General features: G+C 52.8%; 2 protein-coding genes across 4 annotated transcripts in view, besides 3 other annotated features; one reads left to right on the top strand and one right to left on the bottom strand.

Moving 5' to 3' along the window:
• Positions 1–15971, top strand: part of EXOC3L2 (exocyst complex component 3 like 2) — a 33038-nt gene extending 17067 nt beyond the window's left edge. Inside the window, exons 5-12 of the mRNA NM_001382422.1 lie at positions 75–176; positions 267–367; positions 569–679; positions 3428–3563; positions 10022–10144; positions 10658–10813; positions 12147–12268; positions 14984–15971. Coding sequence (NP_001369351.1) covers positions 75–176; positions 267–367; positions 569–679; positions 3428–3563; positions 10022–10144; positions 10658–10813; positions 12147–12268; positions 14984–15272 — 1140 coding nt within the window. The 3' untranslated portion in view covers positions 15273–15971. The remainder of the gene's footprint in view (positions 1–74; positions 177–266; positions 368–568; positions 680–3427; positions 3564–10021; positions 10145–10657; positions 10814–12146; positions 12269–14983) is intronic.
• Positions 9883–10576: an enhancer, noted in NCBI's record as "H3K4me1 hESC enhancer chr19:45721023-45721716 (GRCh37/hg19 assembly coordinates)". NCBI's record gives its function as "activates a minimal SCP1, AML or CMV promoter by ChIP-STARR-seq in naive H9 embryonic stem cells {active_cell/tissue: H9 hESC(naive)}" and the evidence as "EXISTENCE:reporter gene assay evidence [ECO:0000049][PMID:30033119]".
• Positions 10577–11272: an enhancer, noted in NCBI's record as "H3K4me1 hESC enhancer chr19:45720327-45721022 (GRCh37/hg19 assembly coordinates)". NCBI's record gives its function as "activates a minimal SCP1, AML or CMV promoter by ChIP-STARR-seq in naive H9 embryonic stem cells {active_cell/tissue: H9 hESC(naive)}" and the evidence as "EXISTENCE:reporter gene assay evidence [ECO:0000049][PMID:30033119]".
• BLOC1S3 (biogenesis of lysosomal organelles complex 1 subunit 3) overlaps positions 11258–19944 on the bottom strand; it is a 38300-nt gene continuing 29613 nt past the window's right edge. For 2 of the 3 annotated variants that reach the window (XR_007066811.1, XR_007066813.1), the window contains exon 5: positions 11258–11665. The gene's annotated coding sequence lies outside the window, so the exon portion shown is untranslated. Of the gene's footprint in view, positions 11666–15720; positions 16289–19944 lie in introns of those variants that run through there. The other variant, XR_007066812.1, reaches the window with a different exon arrangement.
• Positions 11895–12429: an enhancer, noted in NCBI's record as "H3K4me1 hESC enhancer chr19:45719170-45719704 (GRCh37/hg19 assembly coordinates)". NCBI's record gives its function as "activates a minimal SCP1, AML or CMV promoter by ChIP-STARR-seq in primed H9 embryonic stem cells {active_cell/tissue: H9 hESC(primed)}" and the evidence as "EXISTENCE:reporter gene assay evidence [ECO:0000049][PMID:30033119]".

Raw genomic sequence — 19944 nt, 5'->3', positions numbered from 1 at the left:
TGGGAGAAAGAGATAAAAAAAAAGACCTCCAGGCCGCCCCCAACTCCTGCCTGTCTCCCCTCTCCCTACTGTAGGCTCAGACCCGGGCTGCCCTTCTCCGTGTGCTGCAGGAGGACGAAGAGCACTGGGGGAGCCTGGAGGACCAGCCCAGCAGCCTGGCCCAGGATGTGTGTGAGGTAGGAGGTGGAGGGAGGCTGGGGGATGGGCTGGATGGAAAGTGGGACCTTGCCCCTCCTCACCTCTTCTTGTCGCCCTGGACCTCACAGCTGCTGGAAGAGCACACAGAGCGAGCACCCCGCATCAGCCAGGAGTTTGGGGAGCGGATGGCCCACTGCTGCCTAGGCGGGCTGGCAGAGTTCCTGCAGAGGTAGGGGAACCTGGGAGCACAGGTTAGCTCTGCTGGGGGTTGGGCATCAGGGCCTGGGATCCAATAGAGAGAGGAGAGATGAGAGGGAGTCACCTGAGGACAGGTAGAGTGCCACCGCAGGGATGGTGGCTTTGGCAGGCTGGGTGCCCACGAGGGACCCTGACCCAGTGGCGCCCTATCTGTCCCCTTTCCTCCCACCAGCTTCCAGCAGCGTGTGGAGCGATTCCATGAGAACCCAGCAGTCCGGGAGATGCTACCTGACACCTATATCAGCAAGACCATCGCCCTGGTCAACTGCGGCCCCCCACTGAGGTGAGGGCATCCATGGTGTGATGGAGGGAGGACCAATCCAAGGTGGAAGCTGACCTGGGATGCCCGGATCCTGGGTGGGGATTGCAGAACTGACTCAGGGGAGTCTGAGCATGGGACCTTAGACGCATAAAATCTGGGAGTCCTTGAAACAGCCATAGCACCACAGAGCATCCGAATATTGGAGTGTTCGAATTACAGAATCCTAGACGCCGGACTCAAGACTCTAAGAATGATAGATTTTGGCTGGGCACAGTGGCTCATGCCTGTAATCCCAGCACTTTGGGAGGCCGAGGCAGGCGGGTCACGAGGTCAGGAGATCGAGACCATCCTGGCTAACACGGTGAAACCCCGTCTCTACTAAAAAATACAAAAAAAAATTAGCCGGGCATGGTGGCGGGCACCTGTAGTCCCAGCTACTCGGGAGGCTGAGGCAGGAGAATGGTGAGAACCCGGGAGGCGGAGCTTGCAGTGAGCCAAGATCGCACCACTGCACTCCAGCCTGGAAGACAGAGCAAGACTCCGTCTCAAAAAAAAAAGAATGACAGATTTTTTTTTTGCCTTTTTATCCTTTTTGATTAGTTTAACTAAAAAAAAAGAGAGAGAGATGGGGGCCAGGCATCGTGGCTCACACCCGTAATCCCAGCACTTTGGGAGGCCGAGGCGGGTAGATCATGAGGTCAGGAGATCGAGACCATCCTGGCTAACACAGTGAAACCTTGTCTCTACTAAGAATACAAAAAAATTAGCCGGGCTTGGTGGTGGGCACCTGTAGTCCCAGCTACTCCGAAGGCTGAGGCAGGAGAATGGCGTGAACCTGGGAGGCGGAGCTTGCAGCGAGCTGAGATCGCGCCACTACACTCCAGCCTGGGCGTCAGAGCGAGACTCCGTCTCAAAAAAAAAAAAAAAAAAAAAAAGAGATGGGAGTCAGCTGGGCACAGTGGCTCACACCTGTAATCCCAGCACTTTGGGAGGCCGAGGCGAGCAGTTCATCTCAGGTCAGGAGTTCAAGACCAGCCTGGTCAACATGGTGAAACCCCATCTCTAAAAAAATACAAAAATTAGCTGGGCATGATGGCAGGTGCCTGTAATCCCAGCTACTCAGGAAGCTGAGGCAGGAGAATCGCTTGAACCTGGGAGGTGGAGGTTGCAGTGAGCCAAGATCCCGTCACTGCACTGCAGCCTGGGTGACAGAGCGAGACTCCATCTCAAAAAAAAGAAAATAAAAGAGATGGAGGTCTCTCTATGTTGCCCAGGCTGGTCTCGGACTCCCAGGCTCAAGTGATGCTCCTGCCTCAGCTTCCCAAAATGCTGGCATTACAAGCATGAGCCACCTTGCCTGGCCATTCCCATTTCCTATCATTGTAGCAGTCTGTGTTCTTCCATTGCCGAATGGAGAACAGTCCAGACCAAGCACTTTCTGCCCAAATCACAAACACTGGGCGCTTGACCCAGCAGATCCTCTAGGAATGCACCCTTCAGAGGCCAAAAGCTCATGGGATATGACATATGTGCAGGGTTCCTCCCTGGAAAAAATGGAACCAACTGTCCATCTATCGAGGGCCAGTTAAATAAATGATAGGACAGCTAAGCAGTGGAATCCAGTTCAGATGTTAAAAAGGAGCGTGAGAACTCTTCATGCCCTAACGGAAAAGTCTCCAAGCTGTTGAAGGAAAGGGCAGAAGTGGGTATACTATTCTACCATTTGTATTACAAATAATAGTAATCATAATAAATGGCCGGGGCAGGATGCAGTGGCCCATGCCTATAATCCCACACTTTGGGAGGCCAAGGTGGGCAGATCTCTTGAGGCCAGGAGTTCAAGACCAGCCTGACCAACATGGTGAAAACCTGTCTCTACTAAAAATACAAAAATTAGCCAGGTGTGGTGGCGGGTGCCTGTAGTCTCAGCTACTTGGGAGACTGAGGCAGGAGACTCACTTGAACCTGGGAGGTTGAGGTTGCAATGAGCCAAGATCGCGCCACTGCACTCCAGCCTGGGCAACAAGAGCAAAACTGTGTCTCAAAAAAAAAAAAAAAAAAAGAGAAGAGTAAGGGTACAGTTTCAGAGCTGTAGACCATTAGAACCCCAGACTTGGCCGGGTGCGGCGGCTCATGCCTGTAATCCCAGCACTTTGGGAGGCCAAGGCAGGTGGATCACAAGGTCAGGAGATCGAGACCATCCTGGCTAACACGGTGAAACCCCATCTCTACTAAAAATACAAAAAATTAGCTGGGTGTGGTGGTGGGCGCCTGTAGTCCCAGCTACTCGGAAGGCCGAGGCAGGAGAATGGCATGAACCTGGGAGGCGGAACTTACAGTGAGCCAAGATGGCACCACTGCACTGCAGCCTGGGTGACAGAGCGAGACTCCGTCTCAAAAAAAAAAAAAAGAACCACAGACTTTTAGAATGGAGGCCTCCACACTCTCACCCAGAAAGCACCAAGAGAAACTGAGACCCGAAGACACAGAGAGACCCCCCTTCCCTCCCCCAATATACCCTAGACCTCCTAGCCATCCCTCAGCCCCCCAACATCCATGAGTCCCCTGACGTCCCCAGACACCCCAATCCCCAGACACCCCCAACCTGTCAAGCATCCCCTGACCCCTCTCCAGAGTCCCTGACCTTTCTCAGCCCCCCATCTGACCTGTCACCCCTGTGCCCCTCTGATCTACCTAAGGGAAGACAGGCCTAGGCAGTTGGGCTGAGATGTTGGGGTCCCTCAGTTTTGGCTCTGTTGATCCCCACAGAGCTCTGGCCGAGCGCCTGGCCCGGGTGGGGCCCCCAGAAAGCGAGCCGGCCCGGGAAGCATCTGCTAGTGCTCTGGACCATGTGACCCGGCTCTGCCACCGTGTCGTGGCCAACCTGCTGTTCCAGGAGCTGCAGGTGAGTGAGGTGGGAGGCCAGGGTTGGGGCCCATGCCAGGACAGGGAAGCGCTGCCCCCCACCATCCTCCAGTTCCTTTTAGCCCATGGCTCAGTGTTTGGGAAGCAGACAGGGGCGGGGGGCAGGGGCAGTTAAGGCCATGCCTGGGCTGTTGGTGGAGTGGAGAGGGTGCACCCACCGGGATAACAGAGGGCCATCAGCAGGAGGGGGCTTGAGGTTTGGATGGAGCCCCTCCCCACTGAGGTCCCCCAGATCCCTGCTCAGGCTCTCCTAGACCCCAGAGCCCCATACACCCATCTCCTGGTCCTCGTGCCCGCCCTATAGGGGTTCGGTGCAAAGGTGGGTGAGTGAATGTGGTAGGGGGGTGGGAGCACTGAGGAGAGAGACTGCAGGGGGAGTGTGTTCCTGGCCGTAACACAAGCTCAACCCATGTTATACAGTGGAACACTCCCCTTCTCTCTGCTCAGAATCCTCCCACAACTCCCAGCTCACGCAGAGCAAATGCCAAAATCCCACTGTAGCCCCCACAACCCGGCACAATCAGCCCCTTCCCTCACTACTCTCCTTCTCAGACCTCATCTCCTGCCCTGCCCGCCACCCTCCCCCCACTCCTGGCTCTCCCACTAATCCCACTCCAGCCACGCCAGCCCCCTTGCTGTCTCTTAACCCAGCAAGTACATTCCTGCCTCAGGGCCTTTGCACTTGCCCTTCCCTCTGCCTGGAATGCTCTCCCTCTCACAGCCACATAGCTGCCTCTCATGCCTGTTTCAAGTCTTGTTTTGTTTTGAGACAGTCTCCCTGTGTCGCCCAGGCTGGAGTGGAATGGCACAATCTCAGCTCACTGCAACCTCTGCCTCCCAGGTTCAAGCGATTTTCCTGCCTCAGCCTCCCTAGTAGCTGGGATTACAGGCATGCACCACCACGCCCAGCTAATTTTTTTGTATTTTTAGTAGAGATGGTGTTTTACCATGTTGGCCAGGCTGGTCTCAAACTCCTGGCCTCATGTGATCTGCCCACCTCGGCCTCCCAAAGTGCTGGGATTACAGGTGTGAGCCACCATGCCCTGCCTCAAGTCTTGACTCAAATGTCACCTCAGTGCGACCTTCGCTGATTGCCCCATTTAAAACAGAAGCTCTGACTGGGTGCGGTGGCTCACGCCTGTAATCCCAGCACTTGGGAGGCCAAGGTGGGCGGATCACTTGAGGTCAGGAGTTTGAGACCAGCCTGGCCAATATGGCAAAACCCCGTCTCTACTAAAATTACAAAAATTAGCCAGGTGTGGCAGCACACACCTGTACTCCCAGCTACTCTGGAGGCTGAGGCAGGAGAATTGCCTGTACCCAGGGGGCTGAGGTTGCAGTGAGCCAAGATCGCACCATTGCACTGCAGCCTGGGTGACAGAGCGAGACTTCCCTCTCAAAAAACAAAAAAACAGAAGCCCCTAGACCAAACCCCCCTCCCGACTCCCTGCTATTTTTCTCCAAAGCACTTACTGCCACCTGCCATGCTATAGCGGTTGCCACCACGCCACCATGCTAATTTTTGTATTTTTAGTAGAGACGGGGTTTCACCATGTCGGCCAGGATGGTCTCGATCTCTTGACCTCGTGATCTGCCCACCTTGGCCTCCCAAAGTGCTGGGATTATAGGTGTGAGCTACCTCGCCCTGCCTATTTATTTGTATTTCTGGTAGAGACAGGGTCTCACTATGTTGCCCAGGCTGGTCTTGAACTCCTGGGCTCAAGCGATCCTCCTGACTTGGCCTCCCAAAGTGTTGGGATTACAGATGTAAGCCACCACACCCAGCTTGCTATCTTAAATATACAGACTTTATAGCAACAGCAAACACATTCTCAGGACTCACTGTGCCAGGTGCTTGAGAGTATCGGCTCGTTTAATTCTCACTGCAATCCTATGAGATGGGTTGTAGATTCATTTTACAGGTGAGGAAGATGAGACCAGCAAGTGGCAAAGCCCATTGCGAATCTACGGTCTTAGTCTATAAACCACTATGTATGTTTGCTTTTTTGTTTTTGTTAAATTGTTTTTGAGACAGAGTCTTGCTCTGTCACCCAGGCTGGGATTACAGGCATGAGCCACTGTGCCTGGCCTTATAAACCACTATGTATGTTTTGAGGGAGAGAGAGACACAGACAGAGAGAGCAGAAGCAAAAGAAACAGGGAGAGACTGAGAAAACAAGATAGGTGAGGGAGGAAGGAAAGGAGAGAGACTGGGACAGAGGGACAGAGGGAGAGACATCAGAACCAGCTAGAGATAGACTGTGCGTGGTGGCTCATGCCTGTAATCTTAGCACTTTGGGAAGCCAAGGCAGGCAGATCACTTGAGGTCAAGAGTTTGAGACCAGCCTGGCCAACATGGTGAAACCCCGTCTCTACTAAAAATACAAAAAATTAGCCAGGCGTGGTGGCAAGCGCCTGTAATTCCAGCTACTCGGGAGGCTGAGGCAGGAGAATCGCTTGAACGTGGGAGGCAGAGGTTGCAATGAAATGAGATCATGCCACTGTACTTCAGCCTGGGCGACAGAGTGAGACTCCGTCTCAAAAAAAAAAAAAAAAGGAGAGAAAAACAACCAGCTAGAGACATGAAGAGACAGGACACAGTGCTGTGCTCGCATGCCTGTGTGAGTGTGTGAACAGCTGTAGGCTTTTGAGGGAGTGTTTGTGTGTGTGTGTGCGCCGTGTGCATGAGTGTGCATGTGTATGTGAGCATCAGCCAGGGTGGGGACCCTGGGAGAATCACCAGGGCCCAGGCATTATGTGGGTTCCCTCATGCCTTGCTCCATTTTTGGAGGTTCAGAAAACAGAGCTGGCCGGGCGTGGTGGCTCACACCTGTAATCCCAGCACTTTTGAAGGCTGAGGCAGGAGGATCGATTGAGCCCAGGAGTTCAAGACCAGCCTGGGCAACATAATGAGGCCTCTTCTCTACAAAAAATAAAAAACAATAAGCTGGGTGTGGTGGTGGGTGCCTGTAGTCCCAGGTACTTGGGAGGCTGAAGTGGGAGGATCGCTTGATCCCAGGAAGTTGAGGATGTAGTGAGCTGTGTTCACACCGTAGCACTCCAGCCTGGGAGACAGTGCAAGACCCTGTATCAAAAAAAAAAAAAAAAAAAAAGCCCTGCTGGGCACAGTGGCTCACACCTATAATCTCAGCACTTTGGGAGGCCAAGGCAGGCAGATCACAAGGTCAAGAGACCATCCTGGCCAACACGGTGAAACCCCATCTCTACTAAAAATGCAAAAATTAGCCGGGCATGGTGGCACGTGCCTGTAGCCCCAGCTACTCAGGAGAGTAGGCAGGAGAATCACTTGACTGGGAGGCAGAAGTTGCAGTGAGCCAAGATCGCGCCACTGCACCCTAGCCTGGCGACAGAGCGAGATTCCGTCTCAAAACAAACAAACAAAACCCAGCAACACATTAGACATGGTGGCTCTCACCTGTAATCCCAGCACTTTGGGAGGCTGTGAGGTGGGAGGATTGCTTGAGTTCAGCAGTTCAACACCAGCCTGGGCAATATAGTGAGACCCTATCTTTCAAAAAAAAAAAACCACAAAAAAACAAAAAAGAAAACTGGGCTGCTGTCAGGGTGAGAGAGCAGGTGCTGAGGCTGAGCTGAAGAGGGAATTAGACGCCCTCCCATGGATACCATCTTGGGGATATCTCCGAACTTCACATGCCCTGTGTCTACCCAGACTGCAGCCTCTCCCCCGACCCTCCCCCCGCCCCTGTCTCAGGGAGAGACCCACGGCCTGCCCATCTCCAGGGTCTCTGGTGTCCTCCAGATACCTCCCTTCCCTCCCCACAGGTGGTGGTCACTCACTTCATCCTATGAATTCTACCACTTGGATTCTCCTCTTCCCCTTCCTCACCCCCTTTCATCCCCTCCCTATCTCCACTTTCCCCTTTTTTCCAGCCTCCTCCATCATTTCTACCTCAGTCTCGTCTCCTCCCATCTCGGTAAAGCACAAATCTGACCCTCTCCCTCCCCAGCTCAAACTGGCCATGGCTGCCTAGTGCCCTCAGGAGAAAGCTGGGGCTTCTCCCCAAGCCCAGGAGGCCATGTGCAATCCAGCCCTGCCCCAGCCTCACCTCTCCCCTCCCTGTCTTATGCCTGGAATAAACCCCAATGCCAGCTTCAGGGTCGCACAGCTTCCCTCACCCCCAAAACACACACTTCGAAAGGCCCAATCTTGGTTTAATGCTCTTCTGTCACTGTCTTAAAGTTATTATTATTTTTTGTTTTGGGCAGGGGGAAAAAGAGTTTTGTTTTTGTTTCTGTTTGTTTTTTTGAGATAGAATCTTGCTCTGTCGCCCAGGCTGGAGTGCAATGGCATGATCATAGCTCATTGCAGCCTCAACCACCTGGGCTTACATGATCCTCTCACATCAGCCTCCTAAGTAGCTAGGACCACAGTGTGGGCCACCATGCCCAGCTAATTAAACAAACAAAAAAAAATTATAGAGAGGGAGTCTTACTATGTTGCCCTTGGCTCAAGCAATTCTTGAGCCTCAGCCTCCCAAAGTGCTGAGATTACAGGCATGAGCCACTGTGCCCAGCCCTTAATTAATTTATTTATTTATTTTTGAGACAGAGTTTTGCTCTTGTTGCTGAGGCTGGAGTGCAATGGCTTGATCTCAGCTCACTGCAACCTCCGCCTCCCAGGTTCAAGAGATTCTACTGCCTCAGCCTCCCGAGTAGCTGGGATTACAGGCGCCCACCATCACGCCTAGCTAATTTTTTGTATTTTTAGTAGAGATGGGGTTTCACCATGCTGGCCAGGCTAGTCTCGAACTCCTGACCTCAAGTGATCCACCCACCTCAGCCTCCCAAAGTGCTGGAATTACAGGTGTAAGCCACCATGCCTGGCCCCTTAATAATTTTCCAATGAGATCCGCCTGGCCAAAAGACGGTTTTTAAAATGGTGAACTCAATTCATTTGGTGCATTTGCAAGGTGCAATACTTTCCTTCATTTACCAGTGGAAGAAGTTAGAAATTAACTTCCCCCCAAAATCAGCAAATGGCAAACACATTTCCTTGAAAGTCACAGTCGCATATACAGTGCATTCTAGAAAAGAGGGGGCAAGACAGGTTCCACCCACTTTCACAAGTTTCGTCAAATACCGGATCTACTCAAGGGTGGAGAGAAAAGGCAACTTTCAAAAAGGAGGATGTTATTAACTGAGGCATTTACTATACTCCTTCCTAAGAGCTCCAGATGGGGAACATGTTTTCTCAACCAGACCTAGGAAGTGGAATGTGGAAGCAATCCGTCCTCCTTCCCTTAAGGGCTGTGCATAGTTAATGAATTTTAAAAATATGTCTTAAAGTTCTTACTTTTTCTCTTTTTTTTTTTTTTTTTTTTTGAGACGGGGCCTCCCTCTGTTACCCAGGCTGGAGTGCAGTATCATGATCATATTTCACTGCAGCCTGAACTCCTGGGCTCAAGCCATCCTCCCACCTCAGCCTTCTGAGTAGCTGGGACTACAGGCACATGACACCATACCCAGCTAATTTTTATTATTTTTAATTGATTTACTTATTTTTGAGACGGAGTCTTACTCTGTCGCCCAGGCTGGAGTGCAGTGGTGTGATCTCGGCTCACTGCAACCTCCACCTCCTAGGTTCAAGCAATTCTGCTGTGTCAGCATCCAGAGTAGCTGGAACTACAGTTGCACGCCACCGCGCCCGGCTAATTTTTGTATTTTAGTAGAGACAGGGTTGAACTCCTGACCTTAGGTGATCCACCCGCCGCAGCCTTCCAAAGTGCTAGGATTACAGGCGTGAGCCACTGCGCGCAGTCCCAGCTAACTTTTAAATGTTTTGTAGAGATGGGGTCTCGCAATGTTGCCCAGGCTGGTCTCAAACTCTTGGGCTCAAGCTACCCTCCTGCCTCGGCCTACCAAAGTGCTGGGATTACAGGTGTGAACCACTGTGCCCGGCCCTTAATAATTTTTAAATGAAGTCCCCTGTTTTCATCAACCACACTGACCTTTTCGCTGGTCCTCTCCCTGACATGCCCATCTGAAATCTGAACTTTCTTAATACTCACTATTTTCTCCCATTGAGCCACTCCCCCTCCCCCATCCCTCACTTGGCTAAGGAAGATCATCACCAGGGCCTCAGTTCCGGTGTCCCCTCCTCCAGGAAGCCCTCCATGGCTCTATGCTGAGTCAGGCATCCCCTCTGGGCTTCCTAAACCCCTGGGTTCCCGAGTCCCAGCCTTGCCAGCTTTGGGTCATCACTACCTGGGGACCAGTCTCTCTCCCCTTCTGGACTGTGAGTCCAAGGATGCCAGGGCTGGGGCTATCTCTTCCCCTTGTGTTCCCAGCACCGCACAGCCCTGGTTCAACACGGAGCAGGGTTGCAGGAACTTATTCCTAAGTGAAGAGGGAGGGTGGGAGGGAGGAGAGCGTGACCCCCTACTCTGTCCCTGCCAGCCACACTTCAACAAGCTGATGCGCCGGAAGTGGCTGAGCAGCCCGGAGGCCCTGGATGGCATCGTGGGCACGCTGGGTGCCCAGGCCCTGGCCCTGCGCAGAATGCAGGACGAGCCTTACCAGGTGCACCTGCCTGAGGGGAGGGGAGGTGGGGGTGGGGGAAAAGAGGGGAGGAGGAAAGGGGAAAGGGACGGGAAGAGGGGAGATTGGGAGGTTGGGAGAGCCAAGAACGCTCCTGCTGGAGGAAACCCCTCTAAGGTGGGGAGCGGCTCCCTGTGGATGGGAGAGGTGGCCCCTGCCCGGGGTCTGCGGGGAGGCATGTGCGTGGAACTGGGGTGTAAGGCGGGGTGCAGACTGAGTCAGGGCCCCTGAGAGTGGAGCTTGGGGAATGGGGAGAGGCTGGGATGGAGCACCCTTTGGGGACCGGCAGAGACTGTCCGCGGGCTAATTAGGGGGCCAGGGAAGGCATCCTAGGATAGCTCAGGGGCTGGGGACTGGGGCGTGGGCACGGGAAGGGTGCCCATGGGTGCCCGGAGTGGATGTGGGCGAGTGGGGCGGGGGTGGCCTTCAGACTGGCGGGATGGGAGTCCGTGGGGCATGGCTCACACCCCTCGGGTTTCCCTCCTCCGCCTCCAGGCGCTGGTAGCCGAGCTACACCGGCGGGCGCTGGTCGAGTACGTGCGGCCCCTGCTCCGTGGGCGCCTGCGCTGCAGCTCGGCGCGGACCCGCAGCCGCGTGGCCGGCAGGCTCCGGGAGGACGCGGCGCAACTGCAGAGGCTGTTCCGGCGGCTGGTCAGTGTCGGGACGCGGTTGGGGGTGTTTCAGAAACCAGGACAAGGCTTGGCTTCCGAGAATCTCAGGTCCCAAAAGCCAGGGGGAGAGGGGCAGAGCTCAGGACAGAAACTCTCACCCAACTTCGGGTCAATAGCAACCAGTAACTTTGACCGACACCCTTTGCACTTAAAACCTGGCTTTCTTGCTCTGAGAACTCGCCTCTGGGCGCTTTCCTCGGCTGTTAAATAAGGCGAATAATGGTCCCTATCCATTGTTTTGAGGATCAGATTGGTTAATTCCTGTTAAGTGCTTTGGACAGTGCCTGGCTCAGAGTTAAAACTCCTTGCATTACCAAAATTATCCGGGTGTGGTGGCTCACGCCTGTAATCCCAGCTACTTGGGAGGTTGAGGCAGGAGAATCGCTTGAACTAAGAGGCGGAGGTTGCAGTGAGCCGAGATCCTGCCACCACACTCCAGCCTGGAGGACAGAGTGAGACTCTGTCTCAAAAAAAAAAGAAAAAAAAGACTCCATGAACGTACAGAGAAACTACATGCAACAGAAACACAGAAATCCTAACATTTCTAAACCCTGGAATTAAAAACCGCCAGATCTTATTTGTACCCAGTTGTATTCAGCTGGGCTGGAAGGGCCTCATTCAGTCGCTCTTCTTGGAGTTCCAAGCCCGGAGTCCTTGGAATGTTTTCTTTGGAAAATTTTTGAGATAATTGTAGATTCACATGCAGATGTAAGAAAGAATGCAGGGAGCTTCCTTGTACACTTTGTCCAGTCTCCATCCCCGCAAAGGCAAGATTTTGCAGACGTGGAAGAGGTTTGGAGATGTTTCCCAGAGTTCCAAATTACCTGCAAAACTGGGAGGAGATTATATTATGGATTTTTCTCAAATGTGGCCATAGTATGTCTTCTGCTACATTTTATTTTTTATTTTTATTTTTATTCTTTATTTTTGAGACAGAGTCTCGCTCCGTCACCCAGGCTGGAGTGCAGTGGTGCAGTCTCCGCTCACTGTAACCTCTGCCTCTCGATTTCAAGTGATTCTCCTGCTTCAGCCTCCTGAGTAGTTGGGATTACAGGTGTGCACCACCACGCCTGGCTAATTTTTGTATTTTTAGTAGAGATGGGGTTTCACCATACTGGCCAGGTTGGTCTCGATGTCCTGACCTCTAGTGATCCACCCGCCTCGGCCTCCTCCCAAAGTGCTGGGATTACAGGCTTGAGCCACCACCCCTGGTTTCTGCTACATTTTAGAGATGGTATAACAAGCCAGGAGGGGCAGGAATTGGCAGGGTCAATCTTGGGAGGGTGTGACCCCGCACCCTCCCTCCCCTGCAGGAGTCCCAGGCCTCGTGGCTGGATGCCGTGGTGCCCCATTTGGCTGAAGTCATGCAGCTGGAAGACACGCCCAGCATCCAGGTGGAGGTGGGAGTGTTGGTGCGCGACTACCCAGACATCAGGTGAGACACCCCGCCTGGGCCAGGGCTCGCCGTGCCTGGCCGAGGTCTCCTGGCGGCCTTGGCATCCGTCCCTGTGCTTCCTGCCTCCTGAGGGAGGGAGCCGGTGAGCGTGTCTGACGGCCGTTTCCTGCTGGAACCAGGGCATTATTAATAAGATTTCCCTCCTTCTCCTGCCGCCGCTGCTGCCTCCGCCGCCACCGCCACCAGGGCTCACAAACAAACAGGCGGTCACAGGAAGCCCAGGGCAGGGGGGCGCAGGGCTGCCTGGAGGCAGGAAGGGCCAGCCCGCAGGGGAGCCGCAGGGGACTCAGGGACACGCAGGGCACACGGGCGCACACGCACTGGGACAGCGGCAGGCGCAGGCGGCATTCAACTCCTGCCAGGTCACTTCCTTTGTAGGTGACCTTCTCGGAGCCTCAGTTTCCTCATCCGTTCCATGGGGATAGTAGTATTCTCGTCATAGGGTTATTAGGGAAATTTATCATCATCATCATCATCATCATCATCCATGACTATAGTAACAATTCCAGTTCTCACTCAATGAGTTCTTATTTCAGACCTAAATAAGCATCTTACATGCCAACTTTTTTTCTTTTTTTTTTGAGACAGGGTCTCACTCTGTTTCCCTGGCTGGAGTGCAGTGGCACAATCACGGTTCACTGCAGCCTTGACCTCCTGGGCTCAAGCAGCCCTCCCACCTCAGCCTTCTGAGTAGCTGGGACCACAGGCATGCACCACAATGCCCAGCTAATTTTTTGTATTTTTTGCAGAGATGGGTTTCACCATGTTGCCCAGGCTGGTCTCGAACTTCTGGGCTCAAGTGATCTGCCTGCCTCGGCTTCCCACGAATGGGGAAGTGTGAGCCACCGTTGCCCAGCCCATGCCAACTTTATAAGGGGTATTTTGTTGTTGTTTGTTTTGTTTTGTTTTTTGAGACAGAGTCTCACTTTGTCGCCCAGGCTGAAGTGCAGTGATCTCAGCTCACTGCAACCTCTGCCTCCCGGGTTCAAGAGATTATTGTGCCTCAGCCTCCCAAGTATAGGCATGTGCCACCACGCCCGGCTAATTTTTGTATTTTTAGTAGAGATGGGATTTCACCAAGTTGACCACACTGGTCTTGAGCTCCTGACTTCAGGTGATCCGCCTGCCTCTGCCTCCCAAAGTGCTGAGATTACAGGCGTGAGCCACTGCGCTTGGCCTATAAGTAAGGGGTATAATTAAAGCTATTGAAATATCACGCCTAGCAAGTGGCAAAGGTGGAACTTGAACCCAGGCAGTAGACTGGCTCTAAAACTAGTACACCAGATCGGCCGGGCATGGTGGCTCACGCTTGTAATCCCAGCACTTTGGGAGGCCGAGGTAGGTGGATCACCTGAGGTCAGGAGTTCGAGACCAGCCTGGCCAACATGGTGAAACACCGTCTCTACTAAAAATACAAAAATTAGCCAGGTGTGATGGCACACTCCTGTAATCCCAGCTACTCGGGAGGCTGAGGCAGGAGAATTGCTTGAGCCCAGGAGGCGGAGGTTGCAGTGAGCTGAGATCGCGCCACTGCACTCCAGCCTGGCCAACAGAGCAAGACTCTGTCTCAAAACAAACAAACAAACAAACAAACACACAAAAAAACTAGTGTACCAGATCAGCACACCACACCACCATGTGACAGTGCTGGATGGTGGTGGCAGTGGTGGTGGCTGCCGGAGCAACGCCAGTCCTTGCAGTGCTATTTGGGCAGACACATTCTCAGACATACTCAGAGAAACAGAACCCCAGAAAAACAAGGAGTGAGGCATGAGCGGGTTTCAGTTTCAGCACTGAGGGTGGGGGTCCTGGAATTGATTCAGGGTGGTCAGTTCTGATTCTGGGGGATAAGGTCATGTCCTTGGGAAGGCACATATTCCTGGAGTCCCATGGGGTCCCAAGAAGTCCCAGTATTCTTGCTGATGTGGAGTTTCTGAACTTGAATATTGGATCATGAGTCAGAACTTGAATCTGTAGCTAAGTTTAAGAGTTTGCTAGCTGGGTTGGGTTTAGGGGGTTGAGCTTGAGATTAGGAGGTACCTAGGGCTGAGGATTTAGGGGGAGTGGGGTACAAGGTTTCTTTCTTTTTTTTACTTTTGAAATGGAGTCTCGCTGTGTCACCCAGGCTGGACTGCAGTGGCGCGATCTCAGCTCACTGCAACCTCTGCCTCCCAGGTTTAAGGGATTCTCTTGCCTCAGACTCCTGAGTAGCTAGGATTACAAGCGCCTGCCACCACACCCAGCTTTTTTTTTTTTTTAATGTATTTTTAGTAGAGAGAGGGTTTCGCCATGTTGGCCAGGCTGGTCTCGAACTCCTGACCTCAGGTGATCCGCCTGCCTTGGCCCCCCAAAGTGCTGGGATTACAGGCATGAGCCACGGCACCCAGCTGAGAAGGTGAATTTTAATCACGAGCTGAGGCTTGGGGTGAAAAGGAAGATCCCAGGGCTGGTTCTGGGGTTGGTTGTAAGGGGGATTTGGAGATGGTTGGAAGTGAAGTTCTGGAGGGAGCTGGTATGAGGTGAGGGCCTGGGCAAGGGAGCTGATTGGAGGGAAGGCTCTGGAGGGGACACAGAGGCCCCAGAACTCAGGCAATTTCTGGGATAGGTGAGGGGGTCAGGTGGGGTCCACGGCTGGGTTGGGTGTGTGTCTAGAGCTGGGGATCTGCATGCACCTGTCTGTTCCTCTCCCCACAGGCAGAAGCACGTGGCAGCCCTCCTCGACATCCGTGGCCTGCGCAACACAGCCGCCCGCCAGGAGATCCTGGCCGTGGCCCGGGACCTGGAACTCTCTGAGGAGGGAGCCCTGTCACCCCCTCGGGACCGTGCCTTCTTTGCAGACATCCCTGTGCCCCGCCCATCTTTCTGTCTCAGCCTCCCTCTCTTCCTGGGCCGCCTCCCCCTCTCCCGGCTGGCCAGGCCCAGTTTGGCCTGTCTGCCTCGGCCCCGGCCTCCGTCTCTAGCGCGACCTCGGGCCCAGCGCTGAGGGTCACCCAACCGCCGGCCTTAGTGACCCCATCTATGCTGCTGACAAGCCAACCTCCCGTACGGCGCCCCTCCTGACTCCCTGCCTGGGACCACACACCCCTGGGATAGAAAGACCCTTAGATGTCTTTTCACCCAACCCCAAACTCCCTGTACAGAAGGGAAACAAACGCCAGGCACGGTGGCTCATGCCTGTAATCCCAACACTTTGGGAGGCTGAGGCCGGAGGATTGCTTGAGCCCAGGAGTTCAAGACCAGCCTGGGCAACATAGTGAGACCTGCCCCCTATCTCTACAAAAAATAAAAAATTAGCTGGGCACGGTGGTGTGTGCCTGTAGTCCCAGCTACTGGTGAGGCTGAGGCTGGAGGATCACTGGAGTTCGAGGCTGCAGTGAGCTATGACTGTGCCACTGCACTCCAGCCTGGTCAACAAAGCAAGACCCTTTCTCAAAAAAAAAAAAAAAAAAAAAAGGTAGGGGGAAACAGAGGCCAAAGAGACAAAGCATTTTCCCAAGGCCATGAAGCCTGTTCCCAGCACCTCCCCTCCTGCCATAGCCCAGAGTGGTGAGTGTCGTTCTGGAAGTCTCTACAGAAATATCCCAGCTCCCCCGCCCCTTTCCCTCACCTCAAGGTCTGGCCCCAATCCAATGTATTAAGGAACGTTCGATACTTAGAATAAAGAGGTTTCTATTTAACACAAGGAAGGGCTGAGTCCTGAGTGTGTTGTGGGGAGGAAGGACCGGGGAAGCAGGGCCCCGGGCCAGTGGCTTCTCACACACCCAAGGCCGGGCTGGGCTCCAGCTCCTGGGCAGGGTAGTGGAGGTAGAGGGAGGCTGCATGTGCTGGGAGCGACGCCAACCCATGTACACCTCCTGGCTGTGTGGCTCTGAGGCCAGGCCTTCGCCACTCTGAGCCAGGGTCCCTCGTCTGGTCAATCTCAAAGTGCCTGTCCATTCCTGGTCCTGGTGGCTCCATCTTGGCACACCCTCCCCATCCATCCTTAGCCGGGAAGCTGCCCTGTCAGGAGAGGAAGGAGGTTGGGGGCAGGGCTGGCGGCATCCAGGGCGCCCTCCTGGGTTGACGCAGGAAAGTCTCGGGGTGGGAAAATTTCCAGCCTCTCACCCCCAGCCCCGCCGGATCCTAGTCCCCACGGAGACCTTGAGGTCACCTCCCTGCTGACTCCTGCCCCTCCGGCCTGGGCTGGACAGCCCGTGATGGATGTTTCCTGACTTGTGGGATTTTTTGTGTGTATGTGGTTTTTTTTTTTTTCCCTGAGAAGTCAGAAAGAGGAGGCAGCCAGGGGTTAGCACTGGGGCTGGGTTTGGAACTTCACGCATGCACATTTGAACTTGGGGAGGTAGAGACGAGGGACTCTCGGAGCCCAAGGCTGTGCTTCCTGACCCGAGGCAGGAAGCTGCCCCTCTCTGGGCTGAGGTTCCTGTGCCTTTCTGGGGGAATTGCTTAAACTCTCTTTCCCCAGGCTGAGGCAAGAATGTCCTGAGGGTGCACCTTCCTCACTTTGCCCTCTGAAAATGACATTTTCTTTTTTTTTTTTTTTTCAGTCAGAGTCTCATTCTGTCGCCCAGGCTAGAGTGCAATGGCGCGATCTCAGCTCACTGCAACCTCCACCTCCCAGGTTCAAGCAATTTATTCTCCTGCCTCAGGCTCCTGAGTAGCTGGGATTACAGGTGCCCCCCCTCCACCACCACCATACCCAGCTAATTTTTGTATTTTTAGTAGAGACGGGGCTTCACCATGTTGGCCAGGCTGGTCTCCAACTCCTGACCTCAAGTGATCTACCCGCCTCAGCCTCCCAAAGTGCTGGGATGACAGGCATGAGCCACTGTGCCCAGCCCGAAAATGACACTTTTTATGTTGCCAATATGCAAAAGAGCAAGAGAGGAGTTGAGGAATCAACAATATTGTGCAGTCCATAGACATTTATTATTTATTTTTTAGAGACAGGGTCTTTGCTCTGTTGCCCAGGCTGGAGTGCAATGACACGATCATAGCTCACTGCAGCCTCTACCTCCTAGCCCAAGTGATCCTCCCACCTCAGCCTTCTGAGTAGCTGGGACTACAGGCTCGTGCCAGCACACCCAGCTAATATTTTATTTGTTTTGTAAAGACAGAGTCTCACTATGTTGACCAGGTTGGCCTCAAGCCATCCTCCTGCCTCATCCTCCCAAAGTGCTGGGATTACAGGCGTGAGCCACTGCCACTGCCCTGTAGGCGTTGAATTAAACATATAAGAGCCTCAGTTTGTCAATGTACTTTTCAGATGTTGGTCCTCCATTGAAAAACAGCTTTTGGCTGGGCACAGTGGCTCACACAGCAGTTTGGGACACAGAGGTGGGAGGATCGCCTGAAGCCAGGTGTTCAAGGTTGCAGTTGGCTGTGATTGTGCCTCTGCGTTGTAGCCTAGATGATAGGTGAGACCTTGTCTCATTAAAAAAGAAAAAAAAAAAAGTGGCCGGGTGAGGTGGCTCACACCTGTAATCCCAGCGCTTTGGGAGGCCGAGGTGGGCGGATCATGTGAGGTCAGGAGTTCGAGACCAGCCTGGCCAACGTGGAGAAACCACATCTCTACTAAAAATTCAAAACTTAGCCAGGCGTGGTGGCGCATCTATAATCCCAGCTACTCCAGGAGGCTCAGGCAAGAGAATCACTTGAGCCCAGGAGGCAGAGGTTGAAGTGAGCCGAGATCGTGCCCCTGCACTCCAGCCTAAGAGACAGAGCAAGACTCCATCTCAAAAAAAAAAAAAAAAAAAAAAAAAAAAGTTAAAATAGTAAATTTTATGTATATTTCAGCACAATAAAAAAATTTTAAATAAAGAAACCTCATACTCATTTGTAGTTAATATCCAATCTCCCTAGTAACTTTCTAGCCCTAAGCAGACACTAATCTCTCTGTCTCTATTAATCTACCTATTTTGGACTTTTCACATTTGGAAATACATAACGTAGTCTTTTGTGACTGATGTTTTTCATGTGCATAATTTTGTTTTGTTTTGTTTTGTTTTTGAGACAGAGTTCTGGCCAGGCACAATGGCTCACGCCTGTAATCCCAGCACTTTGGGAGGTGGCTGAGGTGGGCGGATCACGAGGTCAGGAGATGGAGACCATCCTGGCTAACACAGTGAAACCCCATCTTTACTAAAAATACAAAAATTAGCCGGGCGTGGTGGCGCATGCCTATAATCACAGCTACTTGGAAGGCTGAGTCAGGAGAATCGCTTGAACCCGGGAGGCAGAGGTTGCGGTGAGCAAAGATGGTGAGCCAAGATGGTGCCACTGCACTCCAGCCTGGGCAACAAGGGCGAAACTCCGCCTCAAAAAAAATAAAATAGGCCGGGCATGGTGGCTCACGCCTGTAATCCCAGCACTTTGGGAGGCCGAGGCGGGCGGATCACGAGATCAGGAGATCGAGACCATCCTGGCTAACACGGTGAAACCTCGTCTCTACTAAAAATACAAAAAATTAGCTGGGCGTAGTGGCAGGCGCCTGTAGTCCCAGCTACTCGGGAGGCTGAGGCAGGAGAATGGAGTGAAACCGGGAGGCGGAGCTTGCAGTGAGCCGAGATTGCATTACTGCACTCCAACCTGGGCGACAGAGCAAGACACTGTCTCAGAAAAAAACAATAATAACAATAAAATAAAGAAATAGAACTACTCTCTTCGAAATTTTCAAGTATACAATACATTGTTATTAACTGTAGTTGGTCAGGCGCAGTGGCTTATGCGTGTAATCCCAGCACTGTGGGAGGCCAAGGTGGGCGGATCACTTGAGGTCAGGAGTTTAAGACCAGCCTGGCCAACATGGTGAAACCCCATCTCTACTAAAAATATAAAAATTAGCCGGGCATGGTGGTGCTCGCCTGTAATCCCAGTTACTCAGGAGGCTGAGGCAGGAGAATGGTTTGAACCCGGGAGGCAGAGGTTGCAGTGAGCCGAGGTAGCACCATTGCACTCCAGCCTGGGCAACAGAGAGAGACTCCATCTCAAACAAACAACAAAAAAAAAACAAAACTGTAGTCACCATGTTGTGCAATAGATCTCCTGAACTTACTCCTCCTAACTGAAATTTGTATCCTTTGACCACCGTCTCCCCAGTCCTCCTTTTCCTCTTTTCTAATTAAGCATTTAAAAATCTATCAATGTCTTTCTAAGCATTACTTTATCTCATGTCATGTATTTTGATATGTTATTTTTTTTCATTGAGTTTTATGTAGTTTATACTTTCTCTTTTGATTTCTTCTTCGACTTCTGGGTTATTTACTTTCCAAATACTTGTGGGCTTTTTTTTTTTTCTTTCTGAGATAGTTTCACTCTTGTTGCCCAGGCTGGAGTGCAATGGCACAGCCTCAGCTCACTGCAACCTCAGCCTCCTGGATTCAAGTGATTCTCCTGCCTCAGCCTCCCAAGTAGCTGGGATTACAGGCACCCACCACCACACCCAGCTAATTTTTGTATTTTTAGTAGAGATGGTGTTTCACCCTGTTGGTCAGGCTGGTCTCGAACTCCTGACCTCATCAGGTGATCTGCCCACCTGGGCCTCAAAGTGCTGGGATTACAGGCGTGAGCCACCACGCCCGACACCACGCCCAGCTAATTTTTGTATTTTTAGCAGAGACAGCGTTTTGCCATGTTGGCTAGGCTGGTCTCAAAGTCTT

Source organism: Homo sapiens, chromosome 19 (assembly GCF_000001405.40).
Source record: "Homo sapiens chromosome 19, GRCh38.p14 Primary Assembly".
NCBI classification, from domain to species: Eukaryota; Metazoa; Chordata; class Mammalia; order Primates; family Hominidae; genus Homo; species Homo sapiens.
Note: the sequence above shows the minus strand (reverse complement) of the source record. Positions and strands in the feature narration are given on the sequence as shown.